We start from the raw sequence: 27,666 nt of genomic DNA on the forward strand, positions 1-27,666 counted from the left end.
GAAAATGAAAGCCACATTTTGAAGCACAGAGATGTCATGGCTCATATGAGGAATACATTCACGTTCAGTACCTGGTTTGAAGTAAATGCTATCTACAGAGGTAAGCCCTTACCCTGATGTTCTCCTGAACATAAAATTGTGTCTGCAATAACTGGATAGCACCTAGAATACAGAATTACACCCTCCCCTCCCTGCTTCCTATTCTTCTCCCCCACCAAATCTTTGTTGTCAGCAACTACAACAATGATCTATTTTAAATTTAGTTATATGTATATTTTACACTCTGTTCTATCCATGCCTACAGAAACTGACAACTTGCAAGGATAAAATAGCTTTTTGTAATTAAGGAACATTGTCACTGAACAATAATAATTTCAACAACAATAACACTTTTTCATAATTTTAAAATACTACAAGTAACAAAGGTGAGCCAAGGATCCCATTTATGATAGAACAAACAGAAGTCCGAACAGGATACTAAAAAATCAAAATCACAAGAAAGGAAAGTGGCCTAGGGATATAGCCTCTTCCTTGTCTAAGATGCGTGAGATTTTCACAATAAAATAAATATTCAACCTAAAACCTATTTAGTGACACAGATTTTATTCAGCTCCATAAGTCAGTCCAGAGTTTGAGGTTCCCCAAATCAGAATCTCTGATAATCCATATTATTTGGAACTTGGTCTTTCAGATTAAAACCTGTTTTTCTCCTGCTTAGAATTTAGGCAAAGTTCATTTTCACACCTGTGTTGTTGTTCTCCTCTGTTTTTTCAGTTCATAGCTCTGCCCAGCCCCTGGCCACCCATGTGGTGGACACAGCATTTTTCTCCTCCTTGGTAACTTCATCTGCCATCAAGTAAGGGCCAGACATGTGGTTTGTCTCATGCCATCATCAGGGGTAATGACCAATGAGTAGAGCAGTAATTTAGGGAGGCTCCATAAATTAACCCTTAATGAATCATCTTAGTGTATCAGTAAGAAATATAATTTATTCACACACTAAATTAGCTAAGAAGAGCCAATTTGGGTGGGAAAAAGCATTTCTCATTATCACATCATAAGCCTTGTTTACACTGGTATATGACTAATCCTCATGTTATGTCTAACTTCCCAAAGGGAAAATCAATGTATAGGTCCAGTCAAAGGGGCTTAAATACTTAATATTTGGGAAAAAATACTGTTCTGAGGAAATGCATTTTCTTTTTCCCCAGATAGTATTCTCCTTTCATTCCTTACACACATGTGCATGCACATGCACAGAAACACACATTCCCTCTGAAGGATAGGCAAGATACTCCAAATTACATAAAGACATACCCTATGCCAATGAAATAATATGATACCACTGCTCTGCAATCAATAAAAAGTTACATACATTTTAGTCATATAACATTTGATTATCATGAATAAAAGAGAACATCCCTTTGAACTTAGCTGTAATGAAGTTCTGAGACATGTTTCTGAAAAGCACTGGCTCTCACTAGAAAGGGTTTTCTCATTGACTCATTCTATGCTAGGAGGCTAATATGGGTCACTTAATTCTACCACAGTACAATTCCCTCTACTTTGACATTTCTGTTTATCTTTGAGAATATCGCAGTGATTGCAAATGATAACATAACATAAGAAAATGCCATGCCAATGGAAATTTTAACACGGTCAACTCATATTTGCACTTAATTTATAATTTGGGAAACTGAATTCATGACAATTGCTGATCTTATCTTTAAAATGTCTTCTTATCAGCTGTTGAAATTGACATCACCTGAAGCACAGTCTCACTACTAATGAAGTTTCTTACCAATACAGTGAAATGCCACACGTTTTCTACTAGATGGGACAATCAGATTTTTTTCACCTCATTTAAACATAATAGTCTTTGATAATTGGGTTTTAAATAATATCAGTTTGATTTAATGCTTCTCTTTTTACTCCTCTTAATTTACCTCAGTATGCAAATCCATTGTTTGACCCTATTTTGTATGAATTGCATTCATTGACAGACAGAGTAATAAATCAATTTAAGGTAAACCCTGCAGAAACCTCAGATCCCACAAACTGATAAACAGAGTCAGGAGTCAGACTGATAAACTAGAAAAGTGCTGTGGCGAAACGGCAATTACTCATTCATGCGTACATATATTCATTCAGCAAATTTTTTAAATTGGCTCTTGTAGGATGTGCACTCCTCAAGATGCTGGGGTATAAACAGTTGGGGAAAAAGCAGAGGTTTCTACTCTCACAGAGCTTATATTCTAGTGGTGACAGGCCATTAAATAGTAAACAAATACATAATGCATATAGTTATAAAGAATAAAAAAGGCAGTGATATGAAAGAGAGGGAACATAAAGTTCAGGGTAAAGTAGTTGGCTTTCTCTTCTTGCAAGCACAGGAGTTTGTTCTGCCATTAGGACTACTGTATTTTCATTCTTTCTAACTGGAACACTCATTCCTCAGATCTGTGCTTTTTGAATGTAAACTAAAAATAAAATTCTAAGCCCCCCAATCCCCACCATCTGAATGGATCCCTCCTCTCAGCAAGGACATTCCAAAGTTAACCTGAAAAATCAGTTCAGGCCATGATGGGAAGGGGGAGTTGGACATGTCTCATTACAGCCTCCTCCCTTTTGCAATTACAAATAGAAGAGACTCTTTAAGTCTGATAAGAAACATTTACAATTTTCTCTCTGAAAGCTGCTATCTGGAGGCTTCATCTGCATGATAAAACCTCGGTGTTGAAAACACCTTATCACAACCCAGACATTCTTTCTATTGATAATAACTCTTTCAACCAATTGCCAATCCGAAAATATTTGAATCCATTACCTGAAAGCCTCCCGCTGCCCCACCCTTCTGGGCCAAACCAATGTCCATCTTACATGTATTAATTGATGCCTTGTATCTCCCTAAAATGTATGAAAACCAAATAGTGTCTTGACCACCTTGGGCACATGTTCTCAGAATTTCCTAAGAGATGTACCATAGGCCACTGATAACTCATATGTGGTGCAGAATAAATCTCTTCAAATATTTCACAGAGTTTGACAAAATCATCAATACCAACCTTTAGTGATGATATTTCAATTCAAATGTCACCTCCTAAAGTAGGATTACACTTTCTCCTCCAGTAACTCTTTATCATATTATTATGTTTAACTTCCACAATTCAATTCATCACAATTTATAAACCTTATCATTAACATTAAATATCTCTTTTGCTGGTAGTTTATATCTTTCCTTCTCCAAGTACAAGCTTATGGAGTAAGGATTATATGTAGCTTATTCACTACTGTACCTTCTATCTTCCACCTAGAGCAACAAGAGGTGCTCACTCAGGACTTGACTGGATGGATTGATGGATAAATGAATTAAAGCTTCAGTGATTCACTTACCTGGAGTGTGCCTGTTTTATTAAACATAAATTAGAGTTTATTATTATTTTTTCTGGCTTCTTTCTGGAACACTGTACAGACATTCCTAATATTTAGGTAATCAAAGTGAATAATTGCATTCAGCTATTCCTCTTAAGAGAATTCTGAGTACGTCCCTGTCTGCTCTGCCACTTCCAACTGCATGCATGGGGTCATTTCTTCACATTCAACCCATTAAATCATCATGAAAGGCACAGACTTTGGAGTCAGGCAGACTTGGAACCTATCCCCATCTTTGACGTGTATACTAGTACAACTTTGAACAAGTTACTGAATTTGTCTAAGATTCAGTTCACTTTTCTTTAAAAATGCAATGATTTATTATTTACTTTTGACAAAATTCCTATAAGTTAAATAATACTATTTTGGATTGAGAGTCATTAGTTGACTTATGAAAGACACATGGCCCGTAAAACAACCCCTGTGTCTTTGACTCCAGATTTTGGCTCTTACTTAGCCTATCCTACCTCTCATCATCTGTTACATATTTTCTTCTCCCACTAGCCTCCAAGTTTTTGAGTCACAGAGACTGGATGTGTCATTTATCTTCCTGTATCTCCAAAGCCTGGCATGGTATTGATACATAATAAGAATTTACCACCACCATTTTCTCTTGCCAAAAAAAAAAGTCATCTCCCTCTTATCCTGATGAAAAATGCAGAAAAGGTCAAGGCTGGTACCAGCAGTGAGGCTAATAATAGCAACCAATCTTTACAAACAACTTATGTGCCAGGCACTTTAGTAAATTCTTTACAAGCATTTTTTTGTAGCTTAATCCCCTCAGTAATCCTACAAGATAGGAACTATTAAGCCCTATTTTACTGATGAGGAAACTGAAGCTTAGAAAGATAGAGCACAGCTAAAGGTATTGAAGCAAGGCAGTCAGGTCCACAACCCATACTCTTAACACATTGCAATACTGCTATTCTAAGTTTTGTGTTGTCTGGCCTCATTATGCAATGATGTAAAATGCACAGATGCCTCCTAGTATTTTTATGCCAGAAGATTTGTTCTTTATCCTGGTCTTTTCAATAGTTTCTCTTAGTTGTCAGCCTGTTACAGCTGCTAAAATATAAAGTCCTAATTATTTTCTCCATTATGGCTAGTGGGAACAATTCAACATGGAATTAGTATCTTTCTCTAGGGATTTATGGTCATTTAGCATTTTGTTGCCTTTTATTCTGTCCATAAGAGTGCAGATAATGAGCTACTTCTGAGAAGTAAAATAGCTTGAGCATTTTGTAAAGTGGTGAATGTGATTTGAGTCATTAACCTATTACACCGGTTTGGTTTTTCAAGGAAAAGCTTGCTTTATATGTGATCTCCAAAATAAGGAGACAGGAATGAGGTAGAAATCTTCCCTGAACATTCATTAGCAAAGCAAGTGATTAAAACTTTTACCAAAAGTCTTTTAACAAACATTTTTGGCAGTAACTTCCATAGGTTGTGTAATTTTTTAATCTTCTACCTATTTTTTTCTCCCCATGGGAAATAAGCCTGAAACTCCTGTTACTTATTATAGAAAACAAGTATAGATTTTCTTCATGTACTTTGGGATCCTTCCTAATATTCTGGTAGTCAGAGGTACTTTTCTAGTTGCTTGACAGTTAGAGAATAGCTATTGGTCCAGTACTCTCTGATTTCCCCTTTAGAATGATTATTGATGCTCAATATAGAATCAAGAAACTCAAAGGGATAATGATGTTTGTGCAGCCTTGAAATTAAAATGTACAGGTTATTTGGGTAATTTCTTCTTGAATTACAAAGTAAGAATTAAATTTCTTGGGGAGAGGAATAGTCGCTCATGCCTGTAATCCCAGCACTTTGGGAGGCCAAGACAGGAAGATCACTTGTGAAAAGGAGTTCAAGACCAGCCTGGGGAACATAGTGAGACCTTGTCTGTACCAAAAGTTTAAAAATTAGCCGGATGTAGTGGTGTGCACCTGTAGTCCCAGCTACTGGGGAGGCTGAGGTAGGAGGTTTGCTAGAGACCAGGGATTCGAAGCTGCTCTGAACTATGAGAACACCAGACTGGGAGGACAGAGTGAGACCCTGTATCTAAAAAAACTGAGTTTCTTCAATCGAGCAGAAAACCTGTGGGCAGGATAATTCTCTGGTGGCCTTCAGAGTCTCTGGGAGCCTTAGAAGTCATGCAGAGATATTTCCCTGCAGACCACTTTGCATGGCCTCCTAACTTCCAGTAAAGTTTTGTATCTTTGGCTAATTAAACTGAGGGTTAATCTAATCTTTCAATGGTCAGTTTTCCCTAATCTGGAGTTTTTTTGAAACTTAAAAACATGGTTGTATAACTGTGAAATAGAACAGATTTTCAAAATTTCTATACCTCAAATTACAAACTATATTGCATGTAGCTTTTACTTGGACTTGGTCGTTCAGAAAAGTGTAACAAAATGACCTTCCATGTGTAAGTAGTTGCATAAGAGAAACCCCTTTAAGAATAATAGATAAAAGGAATTATCATATTAAGTTACACCTGAGGAATGTACTTTATGTGCTGTATTTATAAGAAAAGCAATGGGCCAGCCAGAAACAGTGCATCAGTCCATATTGTGGAGTCTTGTTTAAAACTAATAGAGCCATATTCATCCATTAATGAATGATGACTAAGACATCTCTCCAGAGGGGAATCTCTTTAGAGGGGAGATGAATGAATACTCAGTTCTTTTTAAGGGACCTTGGAAATCTAGACTCTTCAGTCTTCTCCATCCATCAACACTTTCAGTACCTGCTTTCTCAAGAGTCTTTTGCATTCATTTACTTGGATGAAGATTGCATTCTTTCAGACTTTGAGTAAGTGACTTAGATCATGGGTTTTGAGTTCAATCTGAGCCCTGAAACTCATTAGCAAGTTACTTATTCCCCCAAAGTCTCAGTTTCCTCAGCTATAAAATGGACATAACAATAGCTTGTTTCACAAAATTGTTTGATGTAAATGAGATAATTCAGGACTTGACATATAAAAGTATCCAATAAAGGTTACTACTACTACTACAACTGACTCAAGTATTCATTTGCATTTGCTTTGAATGTCTTTATCTAATTAAAACTCTGCTTTAAGTGAACTCATTATACTAGTCTAACTCTGTATGTTTCCCATTTGCCAAGTAAGCTGCCAGCAAAAGCTGCCAACAAAATTTACCGATTTCATGAAATCAAAGTGATGCAAAAGTTACTCCAAATGTAATTAGAGAAAACTTAATCATTAAACCAACGCTGAGAACAATCTGCATTATTTCAAGGCTTGAAACAATGGAAGTCTCTTCTGTTGTTTTTCAGTCTAAATGTAAGACAAATGAAAAAACCGTGCCCTTATGGGTGTGTGTACTACACATATACAAATATATACAAACATATCTACAGACATATAGATATATATACACCTATACCTATAAATGAAGATACACACACACACATGCACACACACAATAGCAACAATTTTAAACATCTACTGGGAAATACTTTGCTAAAAAAAAAATAGAGTAAAATGAAGACCTGGCTTCTTTCCACGTTCACAGTATTCTGGTGACTCAGAAGGTTCACTCCTAATGAAATCAGGAACATGCAAGTACTACCTTTGAATGTACTATGTATATCAATGCTATATATAGATATTTTCAAAAGCCCATTAATAAAATATCCTCAATGGATTTCAATAATTTTCCTCTTTGCAGACAAGGTCTACTTCCATAACACTACTGTACACATTCTTCAGGCCTGCAATATAAAATCCCTACATTTCTTGGAAGCGCAGCTGGCTTCTTCCCTACTTCAAAACCTCTGGAGTCTCCAGCCATTCCTCTTTCCTAAAGCAATCCCCTTCACAACTTTGGTTTCAGTGCTGCCACAGCGAACTTTCATTCCGTTGAAATCAACAGACATGAGAACAACTAGGGACCCACGTAGCCAACAGTCAAGGAGATCCATTGGCTACCAGAACATGATGGGTCAGAAATATTTTAGAAAAAAAAGAAAAGAGGCAAACTTGCTTTTCCTCTTTAAGTGTTTTTTATTTAAAAATACAGTAAAAGGTTGCAACAAAATGAGCCCTGGATTATTTCCTAGGGTTGCTAAATACAAGTCTCTCCATTTCTAAGGCTGAAGAATGATGTATTTCTGATCCTGCTATTGTTGGCTTGGATTTAAATTGTTTTCTATCATCAGTCAGGCAAGGATGACTCCAAGTAACTAAATAACTCCAGCAGTAGCAGTAGCAACAATAATAACAAGCCCTGGGCTAAGAGTTAGGAGCTTGGGATTCTGCTCTGTGGTTTGCCATCGTCTCTAGGATGTTAGGCACAATTACTTCCCGCTCTGAGCCTCCCTTTTCCTTGCTATAAAAAAAGGAGGTGAACTTGAATATATCAGAAATTAATTCTAAATATATTTACTTTTAATCTTATAGGACAATCATGGAAAACATATTTTTTAAAAAGGTAATTGCAGTTCTTTAAAGAGGTTGCATTCTATAACAGCCTATCGTATGCATTTTTTTCACATACAGGTGGAGACAGGTGCTTTGAAGACTGGCAAAATTTAGAGAATAGGTTCTCACATTCTGTCCAGAAGGACTCATATTCTTAATGAAATCTCTTTTGTTCTGCTTGACAAAATATATTCACTCAATATCTTTATGAAAATGAATTAGGAAATCTGAGTTAAAAATTGATATATTAATGTTTGATAAAATATATTTCAGTGTGAGATGACTACTCAGTCATCCTGTGGTAAAACTTTCAGAGTAGAGGAAGAGGATAAAATTAATAAAATCCTGCCTGTCTAAATTCATTACAGACTAACATTGTCTTTTGCCATTTTACCAATGACAGAACATACAAAGCAGGAGGTGGTTGAATTACCTTCTGCTTCCTGCTGAATCTTTCTTTAAGAATGTGAGCATTTAATCAGAAGTGACAAGTTTCTGATCTAATGTTACATATGGGAGGTGTATACACATGTGAAGTCAAGGTGTCCCCCCTTATGCAGAAAGACAAACAATTGTTTTTAGATGGGTCAGCTACAACTGAGAACATAAGAAAGTCATTCCTTCCATAAGAACTGTCCCAACAAAATCAGTAGGAGTATATACCCTGAGCCATTTCTTCAACTAATGAGACTATAAATTACAACAAGACAACTATAAGATTATAAATTGTGTCACAAATAATTTTGCCTATTTCTCATTAAAATAAGAAGTAAATTTTAAATAATAGTCCTGCATTTGATAGCCACAACCAAATAGTCCATCTTATATAAAAACCATAAGCCATATCCTATATTAGATCAAGAAATATATTTTAAATATGTCCTATCATGGATGAAGAATGATGGTGAGGAGGGTTTTATTGACGTGACAAACATGCTTACTATACATTCATTGTTAATTTAAAAAGATACAAAATTGTATATATAAGATGAATGTTTTCATAATAAACTACATATATACATTTTTAAAAGAAAAATACTTTAAAGGCATATACAGCAAGACCAAGGTGGTGGTTATCTCTGTGTGGTAGGATTGGGGTACTTTTATTTTCATAAGAACTATAGTTTCTAAATAGTCAATAAGAAACATGGATTATTTCATGATTCAACGAAGATTTTACTGTGTTTGTTGAAGAGTTTTCAATGTGATTAAGTATGATGTAATATTAATGACTTGGTATAAATAATATACAGCCAACTTATATTTAGATTCTAAGTTTTAATGAAAATATGCACTGTTATGCTCACAAAAACATGTCATCAATTGGTAATTCAAGTTGACTGCTCTTTTGTGTACCTGAATGTTATGATATTTTTGATTTCTTAATAAATCAGGGTTTTCTTCAAGGAGATAAATAGTTTCTTGAGCAATTGAAATATTTTAAATACCGTTTTATGCGTAATGAGATGGAAGTGCTAAAAGGATATATGTCATACATTAACAAAGTCACAGAATTAATGGGCTTAGGGAAGCTAGAATAAACATTTAGCAATCATTTAAATGAGTGATCAGAAGAATCACTAATTTTGGACAAGAATGCAGGTGTTCTGATTTCCTGTCCATTGTAATTATTCATTAGTTTTTGAAACCCAATAAATATCCTATTTTAAGTGAATAATAGTCTGAATTATACCTATGTGACCTTCTTTATGATGAGCATGTCAACACCAGATTAAATCTGATTTTTACCTGCTTGCGCTTCAGCTGAGTTCATTGATAGAATTCTGCTTTCTATTTAATATTTGGGTGATGGGCTCAACAGAAGCACAAACCCCAGCATTGCCCAATATACCTCAAGTATACAAACCTGCACTTATACCTCCTGAACCTAAAATTTTTTTTTTTTAATTGTAGGCCAAGCACAGAAGATCAGACCTGTAATCCTAGCACTTTGGGAAGCCGAGGCAGGTGGATGGCTTGAGCCCAGGAGTTCAAGAACAGCCTGGGTAACAAGGCGAAACCTCACCTCTACAAAAATGATACAAGAAATACCCAGGTGTGATGGCACATGCCTGTAGGTCCAGCTACTCAGGAGGCTGAGGTGGGAGAATTACTTGGGCCCAGGAAGCAGAGGTTGCTGTGAGTCGAGATTGCATCATTGCACTTTAGCCTGGGTGACAGAGTGAGACACTGTCTCACACACAAAAAAATTTCTGTATTTTCTATATCATTTTTCTTTAAACTATTCTGAAAATGATCTAATTGGGTCAATGTTATTTTGGAATAGACCATATTTCAGTCTGTTTTAAATATCTGCTTTTTAAATCGCTAGGATTTCTTCTGCCTAGTCAACTGGAATGTCTTTTGTTGCCACATCTACAGCTAAGCTACTCCCAAGAAAACATTCTTCCCCATATCTAGCCATATCTCTTGATGGAAATCTCTAAAGAGTTTGGTAAATTACAGGAAATATTTAATTTTATAATTAGATTGTCCTGAGTTATCAACAGTGACCAAGAGTGAAGGTGAGTGGTATCTTGTGATTGTCTGTGTCCCACAAATTCATGAGTTGAACCTAATTTCCAATGTAATGGTAGTGGGAGAAAGAGCCTTTGGGGAGAAGATTAGGTCTTGAGGGCAGGATCTAATGGGATTAGTGCCCATAGTTTGCCTTGCTGCTTTCACCTGGTGAGGACACAGTGAGAAGGTATCATCCATGAATCAGGAAACCTGCCCTCATCAGACACCATATCTGCTGGTGACTTCATTTTGGACTTCCCAGCCTGCAGAACTGTGAGAAATAATTTTCTGCTGTTTACAAAGCCTCCCAGTTTATGGTATTTTATTATAGTGCCCAAATCAACTAAGACAGTGAGGATTTTGTATTCAAGACTTTCAATATTCTTTGGTCACAAACTGCAATTTTAAGCTTTTTTAATAAAAAAAAGAAGCACTTGGCCTAGCATAGTGGCTCATGCCTGTAATCCTAGCACACTGGGAGGTCGGGGTGGGCAGATCATTTGAAATCAGGAGTTGAAGACCAGCCTGGCCAACATGTTGAAACCCTGTCTCTACTAAAAATACAAATAATTAGCCAGGTGTGGTGGTGAGCACCTGTAATCCTAGTTACTCGGGAGGCTGGGGCAGGAGAATTGCTTGAACCCGGGAGGCAGAGGTTGCAGTGAGCCGAGATTGCACTACTGCACTCCAGCCTTGGAGACAGAGTGAGATTCCAAAAAAAAAAAAAAAAGCACTATTCATAACTTAATTATTCCTGAAATTCCTGAAGCTCTTCAAATAAAGTTAAGAAAATGGAGGAGTGATAAGACATGATGAGAAGAAAAGGAGAGGCTTGGTTTAGGAAGAACCATACAACACATTATTAAATGAAAATTATTGAAGGCATGCTACAACTGAGGCGCTTGCCTTGGGGATTGAGGGTCTCAGTTAAGAGTTGTCATGACCACCTGGGTCCCATGCCAGGCATCTAATTTCCTCACTTGTGATCTCAAACTGACAAATGCAATGGCTGCAGATACCTGGTTCCTCTACAAGTTTGCATCCTCAACACTGTTTGACAATCCTTTGAATTTTCTTTAGCGGTTTTCTTTTGCATTCTAGACATGCCTGGCCTAGGTTTTTCCCATTCCTTTCAATGCACTTGCTCAGTCCCACTCTTTCTGTTCTACACAAAGAAACTAGTGTCTTACTTCACAGAACAATGAAAAGATAACTAGGGTAAAGTTCTATAATTTCCCATCCATGCTTCCATTTATTTATTAAATATTAAGTGGTACTGAGCACTTACTATCCACCAATTACTGTGCTACTCCAACTATATGATTTCATTTTTTATTCTCATAGATTATACATTATTTTACACTGATTGATCACTGACTCAAAGAATGACTGGGTAGAAAATATTGATAGCATCTAATTCACCCCTCTTCCTATGAATGAGGACAATAAAACCTGGAAAATATGCTTAAGGTTCAATGAGAAGCCACCGACAAAAGTCCAAATTAAAACCCAACTTCCATTATCATTACTCTTTGTTAAGGAAATTGGTTGGAATCTATCTGCAAAGCATTAGAAATCTGTTCCCAGAGCCCCTGGAATGATTTTCATACTGAAAAGCAAAGGAATAACTAAGAGTATGCTGCAATCGTGTGCTTTTAGAGATGAGAAAACAGAGATCCAATAAGGATGAAAACTGTTAGAACTTAGTCTATAAAAAAAGGGTCCATATTTCTAAATCTTCATCTCATCTCCTGAAATCCTCAAGACCACTATAACTTAATGCAAGCTTGCTGAGCAGCTGGTGTGCATGCTTAAATTTCTTGCTAACCAAGCACAAAATATGAGCATGAGTAGACTTAGAGCTCTTGTGCACCATCAGAAGCAGTGGGCATGCTTTTGCAGAAAGAAAATTTGACAAGAGTGGTAGCAAGGTTCTGGCTGACGAGCTTTGAGCACCCCTCTCCGGATAATGGATCAGCCTGGCTATCCGTGATCATGGATCTCACCCACTGAGCCACACATCCTCTGAGATGAGATGACCACCTCTTCTGACACAGGTACTCAAAGGATGTGTTCATAGAAGATTCTGTACACACGAGAGATGGGAACTATCATCCCATGGCTGCAGACCTTTTAAATGTTGAGTGGTATTTCCCAGATAATAGAACAAAAGGTCCCTAGGCCTCTGAAACATGAAATTTTGTTCCCCAATTTTTTTTTTTTTTTTTTTGAGACAGGGTACGGCTCTGTCATCCAGGCTGTAGCGCAGTGGCATGAATTCGCTCATTGCAACATCCGCCTCCTGGGCTCAAGCCATCCTCCCACCTCAGCCTCCTCCAGAGAAGCAGGCACTACAGGCACATGCCACCACACCCAGCTAATTTTCATATGTTTTGCAGAGACAGGGTTTTGCTATTTTGCCCAGGCTGGTCCTGAACTCCTGAGGTCAAGCAATCTGCCCACCTCAGCCTCCCAAAGTGCTGAGATTACAGGCATGCCCAGACCCAAATTTTATTATGAAGACATTCAAACAGACAAGCTGAAAGAACAATACAATGAACACTTACATACCTACCGTTAAATTCAATAAGCATTGATATTTTGCAATACTTCTTTCTCTATCTTTATTATGTTTTAATACCTGAAGATTTCACTGAAGAAAACCTATGAAAGAAACTTACTCAGATACTGTAAATGACTGTCCCTCCTTTAACCTACCCCACCAATCTTTGTTTGTCTTAATGGGAAAGAAGTTTAAGCCCTTAGATTTTGCCTTAAACTCACAAGACATTCAGCTTACAGGCTTAGTTCTACCCAATTTCTTGGTCACTGCCTTGATATTTAAAGTTTTTCTTCTGCCAGCTTCCCATATCCACATCTTCATGGTTGCCCTTCAATATGTCTTACCCAGACTAGTAAATTTTGCCACTGCCAAATTATTTACAAAGATCTTGCCTGTGCCTCAGAAATCCACACAGCAAAATTCCCTACTAAACTGGAACCAGTGTGAACCACAGGACCTAATAATGCACCTTTCATAGAAGACTCAGGCAGGTTGTTCATTAGGGCCTTATTTTTATCAGTCCAGAATAAAGCCTGTACTTATGGACTAATAAAAGTTGTTTCCATCTAAACACTTTTTTATCTTTTTTGTTCCCTGCATGCTCTCAGGTGATTCCTAGTATTCTTTATTTCCATCTTGCCAGTACATAAGCAGGACAGAATAGTGAAGATCAACGTCTTTACCTTCAGATAACTAAGCTCATCTGCAGAGCAGCTGTGTAATTTTGTCAGCAAGTTCCCTCATTTCTTCATGTAAGATGGAGAAAATGATGGTACCCATTTTGCTGGGTTAAAGTTAATATAAATAAGATAATATATGTAAAGTTCTGGCACTGTGACAAGTACATGCTAAGTCTCTTAATGAGTACTAACTACTGATATTAATATTATTACTATTTTAAGTGTCATTTCAATGCAGACCTATGGAATACAGACACAAACTTCTCACTACATTGTCAGCAATAGAAAATTACTGGCTGGGGGTGGGTAAGTAGCAGGAGGGGCAAAGTATTGTAGAATCAACTGTAACAATAGAATAATATATTTTAGCATTATATAAAATGGAGCTAGAAATTAAATAGAATAAAAGCTAACTTTAACTGAATTCCTTTTACCTATCTATTGCAAATGAACCTCCTTGAGTTGAGAAAGATCTGATATGCATAAATTTCTCTCTAAGGAATAAATTGTTCTACTATTTGCCCATTGAAGCTGGAATTGGACATTTATATATTTCCTGATGAATGTTCTTATTAATCTTCTCTTCACAATTAACAATACAGCTGAGAACAATCACCATTCATGAGCCCTCTCCGTGGGGAAGTGTTAATTCTATGTATGTTAGATGTGTTCAGGAACCTGCATATTTTTTAATAGCCCTTGATGGAAGTGGGAATGGGAGAATGATTATTTTCCAATGACATGAATTAAAGGTACAGCAATAGTGTCCCAGTGATCTTAATGATAAGAATAACTTGTCGTCATTTTTGTTTGATTAATGACTTAATGATATAAAGAAGCCAATTTATCATCTATAATATTGATTTACCCCTTTTCCCTCTCAATTCTTTTTTTTTTTTTTTGAGATGGAGTCTTGCCATGTCACCCAGGCTGGAGTGCAGTGGCGCGATCTCGGCTCACTACAAGCTCCGCCTCCCAGGTTCACACCATTCTCCTGCCTCAGCCTCCCGAGTAGCTGGGACTACAGGCCCCCGCCACTACGCCCAGCAAATTTTTTTTAATTTTTAGTAGAGACAGGCTTTCACCGTGTTAGTCAGGATGGTCTTGATCTCCTGACCTCGTGATCCGCCTGTTTTGGCCTCCCAAAGTGCTGGTATTACATGTGTGAGCCACTGCGCTCAGCCCCCTTTTCCTCTCAATTCTAAAGGCATTCTGATTTTGCTGTCCACTCAACTTTGCCTACATGCATTTATGAATTCATCCTCAACTTTTATTGCACTGCTATTTACAGTGTAGGTGCTTAGTCAGTATTGGGTATACAAAGGAGAATATGACATGTCCTGTGCCCTAAAAATAGGTATTCTGGAGAAACAGGAAGAGTGCAGGGTGATTTCTGCATTATTTCTGTGAAGATGAAGTGATATGATGGACAAAATGCATCCAGCACTGGGTCTGCTCTGGGTAACTTATCATTTCTAAGTCTCCTGCCTTCTTCTAGATTCTTACCTCCCTCCATGCTTAACTTTTTAAAAATATTAAACTACAGTCTTTTTTCATTCCCTATTCTCCACTGCACACATGGTCACCCTCTCATCAAGGTCTCTCTGATACTGTATGTTTTGTAGTTGATTCCAAGTAATAATTTTAGTATCATGTATCTGCTGAACACAATTCTTTCCATTAGTACTTTCGAAGTCCACCACTTCAGTAGAATCTTTTCAGACTTTGCCAGTCAACTTACCTTCTCTCTCTTCTATTTCCTTCTTTTCTGAGGCATGTATGTGAGCAGTGCCTGTATCTAACTCATTTGTCTACCACCAGTGTTTGCCACAGAGTACAAATGTGCTCTCATTCTGCCTCTCTTATCCCTCCCTCCCTTGAAGGCCAAATGCCTTTTTCTCGACAAATGTCATAAACAAAACAGCTGAATCTAAGGATCTAAGATAAAGTATCAGTCAGGAGTACTGAACAAAGCAGAAAATAAAAATGAGATAGAATAGACAAGAAATATGTGGAATTGGAGGCATCCTGTTGAGGGCTTTGGCTCTGAACTTGGAACAGGGTTTATGTACCATCTCCAGAGATTACTTTCTTTGTAATCTTTGGCAAATTGCATCAGCCTCTGTTTCTTCATTTGAAAACAAAGACAATAGCAGTTCCTAATGTATGAGGTTGTTGTAAGGGTTAACTATAATAATGCATGAAAGCACTTAGCTCAATGTCTGACCCATAACAAGTGTTCAATAAATGAATATTATTGTTATTATTATCACCATTATGAGAAGGTAACCACATATTCATGTAACACAGAATAAATTAGGCAACTGAAAATCTGAGTTTAGAATTTCTTCCACTCTAATGAAGAGAAATCCTTTATATTATAGTGTTTTCAGAGAAAGATATATTTTTTCTTCTTTTTTTCTAGAAAACCATCTTTTAATATGAAACCATGCTTTCAGTACAGAATAAACTTTAAAAGAAAAACTATCTTATTCTATAAATTATCCTCACCCAGATATCAGAGTATCACAGTTATTTCCTGACATAGAGGTATATTTGAGTATACATTTCCCATTAATAAACATGAGATGACTACTTTATTTATTTGCAAGTCTGATTGCTCCTTGGAAGGTAAGAGGTCACAATAAGCTTTCTCATCATCAGAGGGCCATGATCCCGTTGAGGCAGCTCAGAAGCAATTTACAAAACACAGCATCTCCCATATTCAAACAATTAGTTGGCATTCACAATGTTTTTGTATTTTAAAGAAACCCTATGTCTCAGCTATTTTGATATTCTTTATCCCTAGTCCTTAAAGAAAGCAGCTTTAGGATCAGCAGCTGATATTGGAAGATAATTCAGAAAAATGTAGTCTTAGCTGAGGTTAAGTTCCTTTGTAAGCATGCTACCTTAAGCTCTCAAATGTCTAGTGGATAGGAGGCTTAACTGTTTCTTAGTAGAATTGAAGAAAGATAAGGAAAATAGCACAATATTTCCATCCAATGAAAATTAACAGCTATTTTGTTCAGGAAAAGTTATATTTTGAATTGGGGACAACAGACCTGAGTCCATAAAGGACGGTGCCATCAGGATGCAGGCGAATCATGCGGTTCTTAACAGTCACTCCGTGCACAAATGACTTCTTATCGTTCAGGAAATAGGTATCAGGCACCCAGAGCTGGTCTGCCACTCTGTTGTCCAGAGTCAAGTTTAAAGGTATTACATTATAGGACAGCCTCTTATCTCTCCAGGCTTGTTGAAAGTACATTGTCAAGGTATAATCCTGTAAATGTGAGAAAAAAAAACATGGTTAGTTTACACCCAGACAGATCTGGGGGATAAGCAAACATCTCAGTATTAATAAGAAAATGAATTTATTTTTAATTTATTTTTATTTTTTTGAGACAGGGTCTCACTCTGTCACCCAGGCTGGAGTGCACTGGCACGATCTCGGCTCAATGCAGCCTCCCTCTCCCAGGTTCAAGCAATTCTCCTGCCTCAGCCTTCCAAGTAGCTGAGATTACAGGCATGTGCCATCGCACCCAGCTCTTTGTTTGTATTTTTAGTAGAGTTGGGGTTTCACCATGTTGGACAGGCTGGTCTCGAACTATTGACCTCAGGTAATCTGGCTGCCATGGCCTCCCAAAGTGCTGGGATTACAGGCATGAGCCACCACAACCGGCCAAGAAAACAAATTTATATATATATGTGTGTGTGTGTGTGTGTGTGTGTGTGTGTGTATGTATGGCCACAAATACAAACATATACTGTTCACATATAGAGGCAAATACTAATTTATTAAACCCATTCTTACCCAGTACCTGGCATGGGCCAGGCACAGTGGTGGGCACTATGAATACAGAAGTGAAGAGAATATATTCACATGAAATTTATGAAATATTTCCGAGGAAGAAAGATATTAAGGAATAATTACCTAATGATTAATTTGTGCTTCCCAAAGTGGAGTACACGGGACTCTTTTAGGTGAGATATAAACACAATTTTAAAAATAGTTATGTATTTGTTTCTATGTATACTAAAAAAATTAACTAGCACATCCAAACCTAAGAATCCATCAATTCATTCTTCCATTCATTCATTCATTAAATATATAATTTGTATCTAGTATTTGACAGGAACCATTGAGGTGCTGAGATGAAAGTGGTAAACAAGACAGATTAAATGCCTGCTCTCAGGGAATTTAAAAACAAAGCATAGATAAATCAACAGAATCATGTAAAATTATGCTACATTTTATGAGGCACATAAATCAAGGTGCGAAATATCTAACTGGAATGGTGACAAAAAGCTTTTCTTGGGAGTTGGCATTGTGCAGAGAGCAGAGAAGGAGCCCAAACCACTGGCTCTTGGGAAAAGAACATGCTGAGCAGAGGGGAATCTGTAGAGGCCCTAAGATAAATAGACAGGCTTGACATGTTTGAAGAATCAGTAAGACCTGCTTGTTTGAGCCAGTGATACATAGGGAGAGTAGAAACACAGCAGTCAAGAAAATTAGCCCCATGAAATTTTAGAAGGGTATGCATATTTAAAATAGATTGTTACAAAGTGGCTAACTTATTATGGTAGTAATTGTAAGAGTTTGTAAATGAGAATCCTAATCAGTCTAGTCTGATCAAGGTGGGTTTTCCAGAAAAGGCGACATGTACACTGAGGCTAATGTAAGCTTCTCAGCTATCTAAACAATATTAATTCAGTCAGTTTATCATGAGAATTTTAATCCCAGCCTTACGGACAAGTAGGCTGGGCTGCAACTTTTAGAAACAGTGGGCTGGCTCCTGTAATGTGAGCATTGCTCTTGGGGTCCCAATTCTACCATTTCTCAATTCTGTTTCTAGGATGTAAATATACATAACTTCTTTTAGTTTCAGTTCCATTAAATATAAATGGGGCTTTTAATACATGCCTGATCTAATCAGAAGGTTATTATGAAAATTAAATGTACAACTCAAATGCAATTTGTAAACTACAAAAAGCTATATACTATGAATGAAGCATTTATAAGTGACATATTTTATCCATTAGAAGCCTATGGGTACAATGTAATTGCTCTCTCACCCTCATCTGAATGACTAAGTGAAGGTCCAAATATTCATTTGAAAAGCATAATTACAATTCTATTTTAAAATCAGTTCACAATGCCCTACTTGAGGGTTTTTTAAAAACTAGAATCATGTATTAATTATCTCTGCAACCTGAGAGGCTAGAGCAGTGCCCAGGGCTCAAATAACAAATGAATGAAATAATATATGTCCAGTAAGCTATGCCTAGTGGATTTCTGCACAAATCTGCATAATTTTGTGTATAAGACACATACTTAAATTTCAGTAAAATCTTGCATTTTTCTAACCTTTGTTGAGATTTATACATCTTAATTGGTTTATATTATTTTAAAATATGACTCATATTATCTGCTCTAACACCGAACAGTTTTCATGGGAACAACGTAACTCGTTGTAAAAAATATTTAAATATTTTCTGTGGCTTAGAAAACACACACATTTTGACCTCACTCAGAAATTAGTGTAGGACCCTCCAATTTTACAATCAAACTTCTATCCTATCAAAAGACATATTAATATCCTAAATGTGTATCAAATAGTTGTCGGTGAAATTCGCTTTAGCGGATTACTCTGGTTAGCATTCTGGACTGTTCTGCAGCACTCTGCTTTAGGGAAGAATTAGTTTGAGGATCTCTAGAGGAGCATGTTAATTTACAATAGAAGCAAGATGAACATTCATGAATTATATAACTAGAAAACAGTAAAAGGATCAGATATATATTTTTGTGTGTGCCTATGTTACAAATAACCTAAAAACAGGACATAAAAAATAAAACATGCAATTAATATTGTGCTAGAAAGAACGCATTTAGTGATTTCCAATTCTTGAAATGGAAAATTTGACTATTATCTCTACAAGAGGAGAAAGCTACTTACACTTCTTTCATAAGCCCTCTTGAGAGTTAGGAGAAATAATACCGTTTGGAAGGTGCTGAAGTTTACAAATCAGCTGAGATGTGTTTGGACACAGGAAACTATCTTATCTTTTGGACTAAATAAATGTTAAGATTGTGAGACCCTGCATTACATGCTAATTTCTGTTATTTGTCAGCAAGGCAGTGCCTGCTAAAAAATGCTCCCAGACAGGCCCTGGTGATTCTGCAAACTGTCACATCAATTTTGATTTCATTTATTTTCAAATACACATCATGACACTGTCAAGAAAGGAAGAAGCTCCTGATTCGAACTCAATGTTAGTGCGCATAAAAAGAAAGCATGGTCCTGTCTTCTACCCTTTCCCCTAGGCTCCTATCCACCTGAGATAAATCCTTTGCACTTTAATATTACAAGGCTATCCTTCACATTTGACAACTCCACCTTTGGGAACTTGTCTCAGAGTTGGTTTATTCAAACTGAAAAACCCCAAATAAACCACTTCTGGGTGCTCCTTGATCCACGTTATCACCACCCGAGAAGGATTTACATAATTAAAACTAAAGCCAATTGATTTTCAATACCAAACAAGATAAAGTAAACCCATTGCAGGTTATTTCTTCCACGAATTACAACTAAAAATTCTGGACGAAATAAAACCACAACTACCTGATGACTATGCAAAGTAGAAAGACTGAGGAAATAATCAAAGTGTGAGAAATACTACTATAAGAGTGAGTTTCTCGATTATTTTTCTTCTTCCTCTTGTACTCCTTAAAGTAGCATGCATGTACACACACACCACACACACACACACACACACACACACACACCTGCAGCCAAAAGTATAAAGACCTCAATAAACAGAGAGAGATATTTCTGGACTCACAAAGTGAATATTGTTAAGATGTTGATACTCTCTAAATTGGTCTACAGATGAAATGCTATCTCATTTAATCTCAAATGTTATTCACTTCATTTCAAACCCTATCAGGATTTTTTTTGTAGATGTTGACAAGGTGATTCCAAATATTTTTATTTATATATATATATATATATATATATATATATATATATATATATATGAAAGAGAATAGCCAAAACAGTTTTGAAAGAGAAAAAACAATGCTGGAAGACTCACACAATCTGATATCAGGACTTACTATACTGATTTAAATACTTACTAATACTACCACTGTGTGGTAGTATTGATAGAAACATAGGGTCTAAAACAGAAGAGTCTAAAAGTAAACCCATGCACCAATATGTTCAATTGATTTCTGACAAAGGTACAAAGACAGTAGACTGGAGAAAGCATAATCTTATTATATAACAAAAGGTTTGGATCAAATGGAACTTCCATATACAAGTAGATAAATGGATACGTAGATTAAAAAATTTGACCCATACTTCACATTGTATATAAAATTTAATTCCAGATATGTCATCGACTTAAGTGTAAAATGTAATACTATAAAACCTTAAGAGAAAAACAGAAGAAATTCTCTGACTTTCGCTTCAGCAAAGACTTCTTAGATACAAACCTAAAAGTATAAGCAATAAAACAAAAAAATGATAAATTGGACCTCAACAGAATTTAAGGTTTTTTTTCCTTTAGCAATGACACTATTAAGGGAGGGAAAATATAAACTACAGACTGGAAGAACATATTTGCAAATCACATATCTGACAAACAACTTATATCCATAAATATAAGCATATAATAATTCTCAAAATTCAAACAATCTAACAAAGATAAGCAAAAGATGTGAACAGACACTTAACCAAAGATACAAATATAGTAAATAAGTTTATAAAATGATGCTCAACACCACTAGTCATTATGGAAAACAAATTAAAAAACTCAATGAGATGCTACCACACACTCATTAAAAAAGTGCAAATAAAAATATCAAAAAACAACTGACAATTCCGAGTGCTGGTGAGAAGGTACACCCAAAGTCTCATACATTGCAAGTGGAAATACAAAACTGTCAGCCATGTGGGAAGCAGTTTGACAATTTATTATAATGTTAACATACATTTGACACAGAACCTAGCAATCCCACTCCTTTGTGCAATTGTTTACAGCAGTTTCATTTTAATTGCCAGAAGTGGAAGCCATCTGAATGTTCTTCAGCCGATACAGGGATAGACAAATTGGAATGCATCCCTGAAACAGAATACTACTCAGCAATAAAAAGGAACCAACTTATTGATATAAGCAATATCATTAATGGTTTTCAAATACAGAAAGCTAAGTGAAAGAAGCCAGATTCAAAAGGATACATATTGTATCATTCCATTTGTATGACATGAAAAAGGTGAAACTATAGAGATGAAGAACAGATGAACGGTCCCCTGGGGTTCAAGATGGGGGAGCAGTTGACCTCAAAGGGCAAGCATGAGAGACTGATTTTGGGTAATAGAACTGTTCTGCTTCTTAATAGCAGTGGTGGTGTTAGGACTTTAGGCATTTGTCAAAACTCAGAACTGTATACCAAAGCGAGTGCATTTTTCTGTATGCAAATAAAAAATAAATCTTTCAATTGCTTTCAAAAAAGCATAGTCTCTGGGGTCAGACACACCTAGGTCCACATCCCAGTATGTTTATGTTCCTCTGATGTGAACTTGAGGGAATCCTTTCAAATCTCTGAGCCTGTTTCCAAGTCAAAAGAACAACTATAGCTAATTAACATAGGAACTGGGGGAAACAAAAGATATCTGACATCTGGAGGGAAAAAAAAAGGTAGAGTTATGCTACAGATTAAGTCTCCTTCATGAATACACAGGGACATAGGGCTCCACCAGGACAGGCTGACAAGGCCACCATAATGGTTATAGGCTCTCTATTCTGAAATTGTACAACAATGCACTTAGAGTAGGTGGTTTCAAAGGCCATTTCTAGGGATGAAATAATTCCATTCTAGAAAATCCTCTGCTGACCTTATATTCAAACTCATGTTGTCATTTAAAAATCTTCTATATGTCTAAACACTTTTTGTTTTTGCTTTTATTGTCTTTATAGTTTGTTTTCTATTGCCAAGATTTAAACCTTTCTTGTCTCTCTGGCTCAGTGTCTAAAAATTACATACTGTAAAACGTGTGTCTGTGTTTCTTATCTTTTTTAAGTTTATTGTTTTGTAAAGTGCCTATTCATCCTCATTGAACATTTTTTTATTTGGACATTTACTTCTTGTTATAGGATATTTAAATATACACAATACATACACACACATACATATACATCATATGTTATTGTCTTTTACATTCGTTTTAACTTTATAGTTTGAAACAAAAACTAGTACAGAGTTTCTGCATAGTTTTTACATTGCTTTCTCTAAGACTAACTTTTGCAAAGCCATAAAGTAATATAGAACCAGGAAATTGACATATATAATAATATTAACTACAGACCTTATTACACTATCTCTCATATCAATAATGCCCTTTTTCTGTTCAAGGATCCAACCCAAGAACCACCTTACACTTAATACTTATGCTTCTTAACCTTCAACCTGTGACAGTTCCTCAATGTTTCCATGTCTTTGATGGGTAGCAGTCAGTTTTTTTTGTTGTTGTTGAATGTCTTTCAGTTTGGATTTGCTTGGTGTGTGCTTATGATTAGATTGAGATTATACCATTTGGGTCAGTGTATCACCTAAGCAATATTGTATCCATCATATAAAGTGTACATATAAAGTGTACATAATGTCAAAATGACATTCTGGAAAATTCCTGGTCATCTTAATCTTGAATCGTTGGTTAAGGTAGCATCTGCTGGGCTTCCGCACTGTGAAGCACTATTATCCTTTGTAATAAACAAATATCTTTGGTAGATATTTTAGGATTATGGAAAGTAATAACATATTTACACTGATATCTATAACCACTGCATTATTGTGGGGTATTTTTGCATGCTTTCTAAATTTCTCTTCACTCATCTAAACCTGAATCAACATATTCATTCAATGACAATTTTTAAGTACTAATAAGACAAACCAAAAAAAAGGAAACACCAACATCAGCCATTGAAAGAATTTTATCATTAGAAAGTGAGAAGTATCCCCTTGAGAATTACTTTCCATTTACCCTCATTTTCCATGCCAGTGGCATTGTTCTGGCCACTTGAAGCTATAGAACTGCATTCTGGATGTGTGGTGCAGCATCTCCCCTTGTCTCAAGCCTGCAGGTTGCATGTGAGTGGCCTCTATCCCCACCTGGACCTTAATGACTATTCAACCATGAGCTTCGGCCCTCCCCTTCCCCTTCATTTATCTTCATTTATATGGTTTCCAATATGCATTTTTTTCTGTAGAGACTTCAGCATTTATTATCTATGGAGTTTTTCCTCTTTTCTTTTAAAGCATGGCTATGTATATGGGGAAATAGTCAATAAAATTATGTATTTTTCCCTACCATTTCTCTATTTGACAATAAGATAGCAGGGTAAGGGGTTGGTTTCACATGTATTTGGTCTGCCATTTAAAGACATAAAGACACCTAACAGCTTATTTTTTAATGATCAGAGTTTAAAGTTTATTTTCATCAGTGATAAGGTATAGTCTGTTTAATTTGCTTTGTCCATTAGAACTACACTTTCTAAGTTTTGAAAATTACCATTACTGAACTAAAATCTTGAGCTTTGGTGATTAAACTTGCTTGTTGAGTTCTTCTAGATAACAGCTTTGTCTCCAAAATTAGATGGTTTCAGAGAAATCACTCTCTCTGCTATCAGGCTTTTGTAATTTTAAAAGACAAAATATTTAACTTCATCTTAATTACCGCTTGTTGAAAGAACAACTGTGTCTAATATACCATCATTTGTTATTTTCTTTCACTTACGCTATATCAAAGTTGAGGTTTTGAGCTGAGGATCTGACCTTCTGTCTTTCATAAGACAAGGCTAATGTTTTTAAGGTAGTAAAAATCTGTGATTTGGAAACTACAAGAGCAAGTGTTATTTAATTTAAATGTAATACAAGTTTCATGTGAATAAAACTCCACAATTGTTCAGCATAGCATATTTGTAGCTTTTACTATCATTCTGGGTAGAATGTTTTAACTTTAGGCATTTTAGAAAAGTATTTCAGTTTTTTTGTCAGTATTTCCACTTTTCAAAAATATGACACAACAGGACTGATTTCCAAAGATTGGAATACCAAACTATTTTCACAATTAAAAACTTATTTTTTTCCACTTCATGGGAGAAAATACATCTGATGTGTAAATTATTACCTGAATAATATCAAAATGAGGCCTAAGTCATATAGTATGTACATTCTCAACATCATAGGCTGTGAGAGTAAAGATTCCATCTTAGTTATGTGTATAAAGTCAATATTTCCAGTAAATGGTAGAAACTACAATTGCCTCTTACGTGGTATAAATTTCCTGTTGGATACATGGGAATATGTACAGAGATTTCTAAAATGTGCATATTCTTTGCTCTGATCTTTGCATTTGCATGCTTTGGAATATTTATAGAAAATAATTCAGCAGCAAGTTTTGACAGCTTTATTTCCAAATATTGTCACAAGTCTATTACATCTGTCTCCAATACAAACAATCTAGTTTAAGGCACTATTATTTACGAGTTCCTGTAATGCCATTGTTACTATCTCCTTGAGGCTAACCCTTGCTCCTACAGTGTAGCAGAAATGTAAAGCAAATCATGTCTTTTCCTTGCTTAAGATGGTCTAAAAGCATTTTATTGCACTTAGAATAAAATCCAAGCTTATTACGATGGCCTTTAAGGCCTATGTAACCTGGATTCTGCCTACCTCCTTGATCTCACTACCTATTCCCTCTTCCTTTCCCTGAACTCCACTCACTAAGCCCATCCACACTGGCCTGTTCTGTTTTGCAAATACTTCAAGTTCCTTCAGACTTCGTCTTAACAACTGACTGAAAACCTAACTGACAGGCTATGTCCCCAAGCATGGTTGGTTCCTTCCTGGGACTCAGAGCTCAACTCAAAGCTCAAACCTCCTTGGTGGGGTTTTCCCTTCCTCTCAGTCCTAACAATCTCTGTCACATCCCTCATTTTTATAATGTTCACAGTACTTACTATATTTTTTCAGTTAATAACATTCATTTATTTGTCTCCTCATGTATTTTCATGTCGCCCAACTAGAAGGTAAGTTCCATGAAAGTAAGAAGCTTTCTTAGCTTATTCACTGATGTACCCCTATGCCTAAAACAGAGCTTAGAACATAGTAGCAATAAAAAACCCCCCAAATTATTAAAAGATATGAAAGCATGAATGAAAGACACCACATAGACCTTAAGACCCCCAAAAAACTTACTGTTATATTAGCAATAAAATAAAAATTAGTAAAAACCTAACTGTTCATCAATATAAAATTGTGTATATGAAACATAGTACAAATATATAATGAAACACATACAGTCATACATATTATAAAAATATTTATGACATGAACAGATGTTATTACTATAACATCTTATTATATTATTAGATCTTATCTTTTTGAGAAGACTACAAAACAATATGCACAATATGTCCCAATTTGGGAAACATACATATAGATTGAGAAAATGTGTCCAAAAATATTTCTAATATTAATAGTAGTATCTCTGTGTGATGACATGTCAAGTGATTTTCAATTATTTTTGTTAATCTGTGTTTTTTTAGGTGTATCATTTCTATAACAAAACTAAACAAGTAATTACTTGTTGAGTTAAATTATAAAACTAGTATCTAACATTACAAATATGTCTTTATGCATATTTCAGAGGTTGGTATGAAGAGAAAGAAAATTTACTCATAGTCACAAATAAATGAGAAGTCTCTACCTTTAGGCTTGTTATTAACAAAGCATAAATTTCTTTTATATTGAAAAGGAGTTCATTTAGAATCATACAAAAAGTAAGAGCACCAATTGTTCCACCATTTTTCCTTTTCCAGGGAAGCAAACGCTTAAGCCATCATTGATCAGTGAAATCACTACTATGTTTCCTCTTAAAAACCAAAAAAAACCAAAAAACAAAAAACAAAAAGAAAACAACAACAACAAAAAAGGCAACCTAACTTCAGTCTTCTTCACCTCACCAGGAAATGTTATTTCATTTTTAAGGTAAAGACTTCATATCTGCTTCATGTCTAATACTCAGAGGAGATGGAAACATTATTCACACATACACATACACATACACATACACATACACATACACATACACATACACATACACATACAGCTGTTCACTTAAGTCTAATAGCACCCTCTGTACTGCAATGGAAGTTCAAGTCAAAGGATTCTTCTGCAAAAGCTTTCAAAGAAACCCTATGGCCATGAAGTACAAGCTCCTTACAAAGCTCTTCACAATCTGTTCTACTCACTTCACCTTTCTTCATCTCTATTTTCTCATCCAAAGTGAACAATCTGAGATAGAAAGGATGATCCCTGTTTAAGAGTTTCAGACATCCTATGCATCTCTGACACTACACTTACCTTCAACGAATCACTTTCCTGATCTTTTGCTTGAATTAAACTTTTCTATCTCTCTTGATACATCTTTTCTTTCCTTTCATGTTTTTTTTTTAATCATGGAGAATTGCTGCCCCTCTTTCCTGTCTATCCAAACCCTGCCTATCTTTCAAACTTCCATGAGGATCCTTCCACTTCCCCTACACATCAACATTCATCCTCTGAGCCTTCTAATGCATGTTCTGTGGTAAGCCGAACACTACTGAATTGAACAGTTATTTAGATGAGGGGAATAATCTCCACAACTAAACTACACAATAGCCCCCACTTTATCCATGAGGGACACGTATCAAGACCCCCATTGGATGTCTGAAGCCACAGATAGTGCAGAACTCTATGTATACTATGATTTTTCCTATGTAAACATACCCAAGATAAGTTTAAATTATAAGTCTGGCACAGTAAGGAATTAACAACAACAATAATAAAATAGAACAACTGTAACAATATGCCAGAAGCTTTTCTCTTGAGCTGTATGGCTATCATTAAGTAAAATAAGGGTCACTTGAACACAAGTAATGTGATACTGTGATAGCTGATCTGCTAACCAAGAATGCTACTG

General features: G+C 35.9%; 1 protein-coding gene across 3 annotated transcripts in view; it reads right to left on the reverse strand.

Annotated features, from left to right (window-relative positions):
- GABRB2 (gamma-aminobutyric acid type A receptor subunit beta2) overlaps positions 1–27,666 on the reverse strand; it is a 259,969-nt gene that overhangs the window by 154,487 nt on the left and 77,816 nt on the right. For all 3 annotated transcript variants that reach the window (NM_000813.3, NM_021911.3, NM_001371727.1), the window contains one exon: positions 16,702–16,922. In NM_000813.3, coding sequence (NP_000804.1) covers positions 16,702–16,922 — 221 coding nt within the window. The remainder of the gene's footprint in view (positions 1–16,701; positions 16,923–27,666) is intronic.

The sequence above is a fragment of the Homo sapiens genome, chromosome 5 (assembly GCF_000001405.40).
Source record: "Homo sapiens chromosome 5, GRCh38.p14 Primary Assembly".
Taxonomy (NCBI): Eukaryota; Metazoa; Chordata; class Mammalia; order Primates; family Hominidae; genus Homo; species Homo sapiens.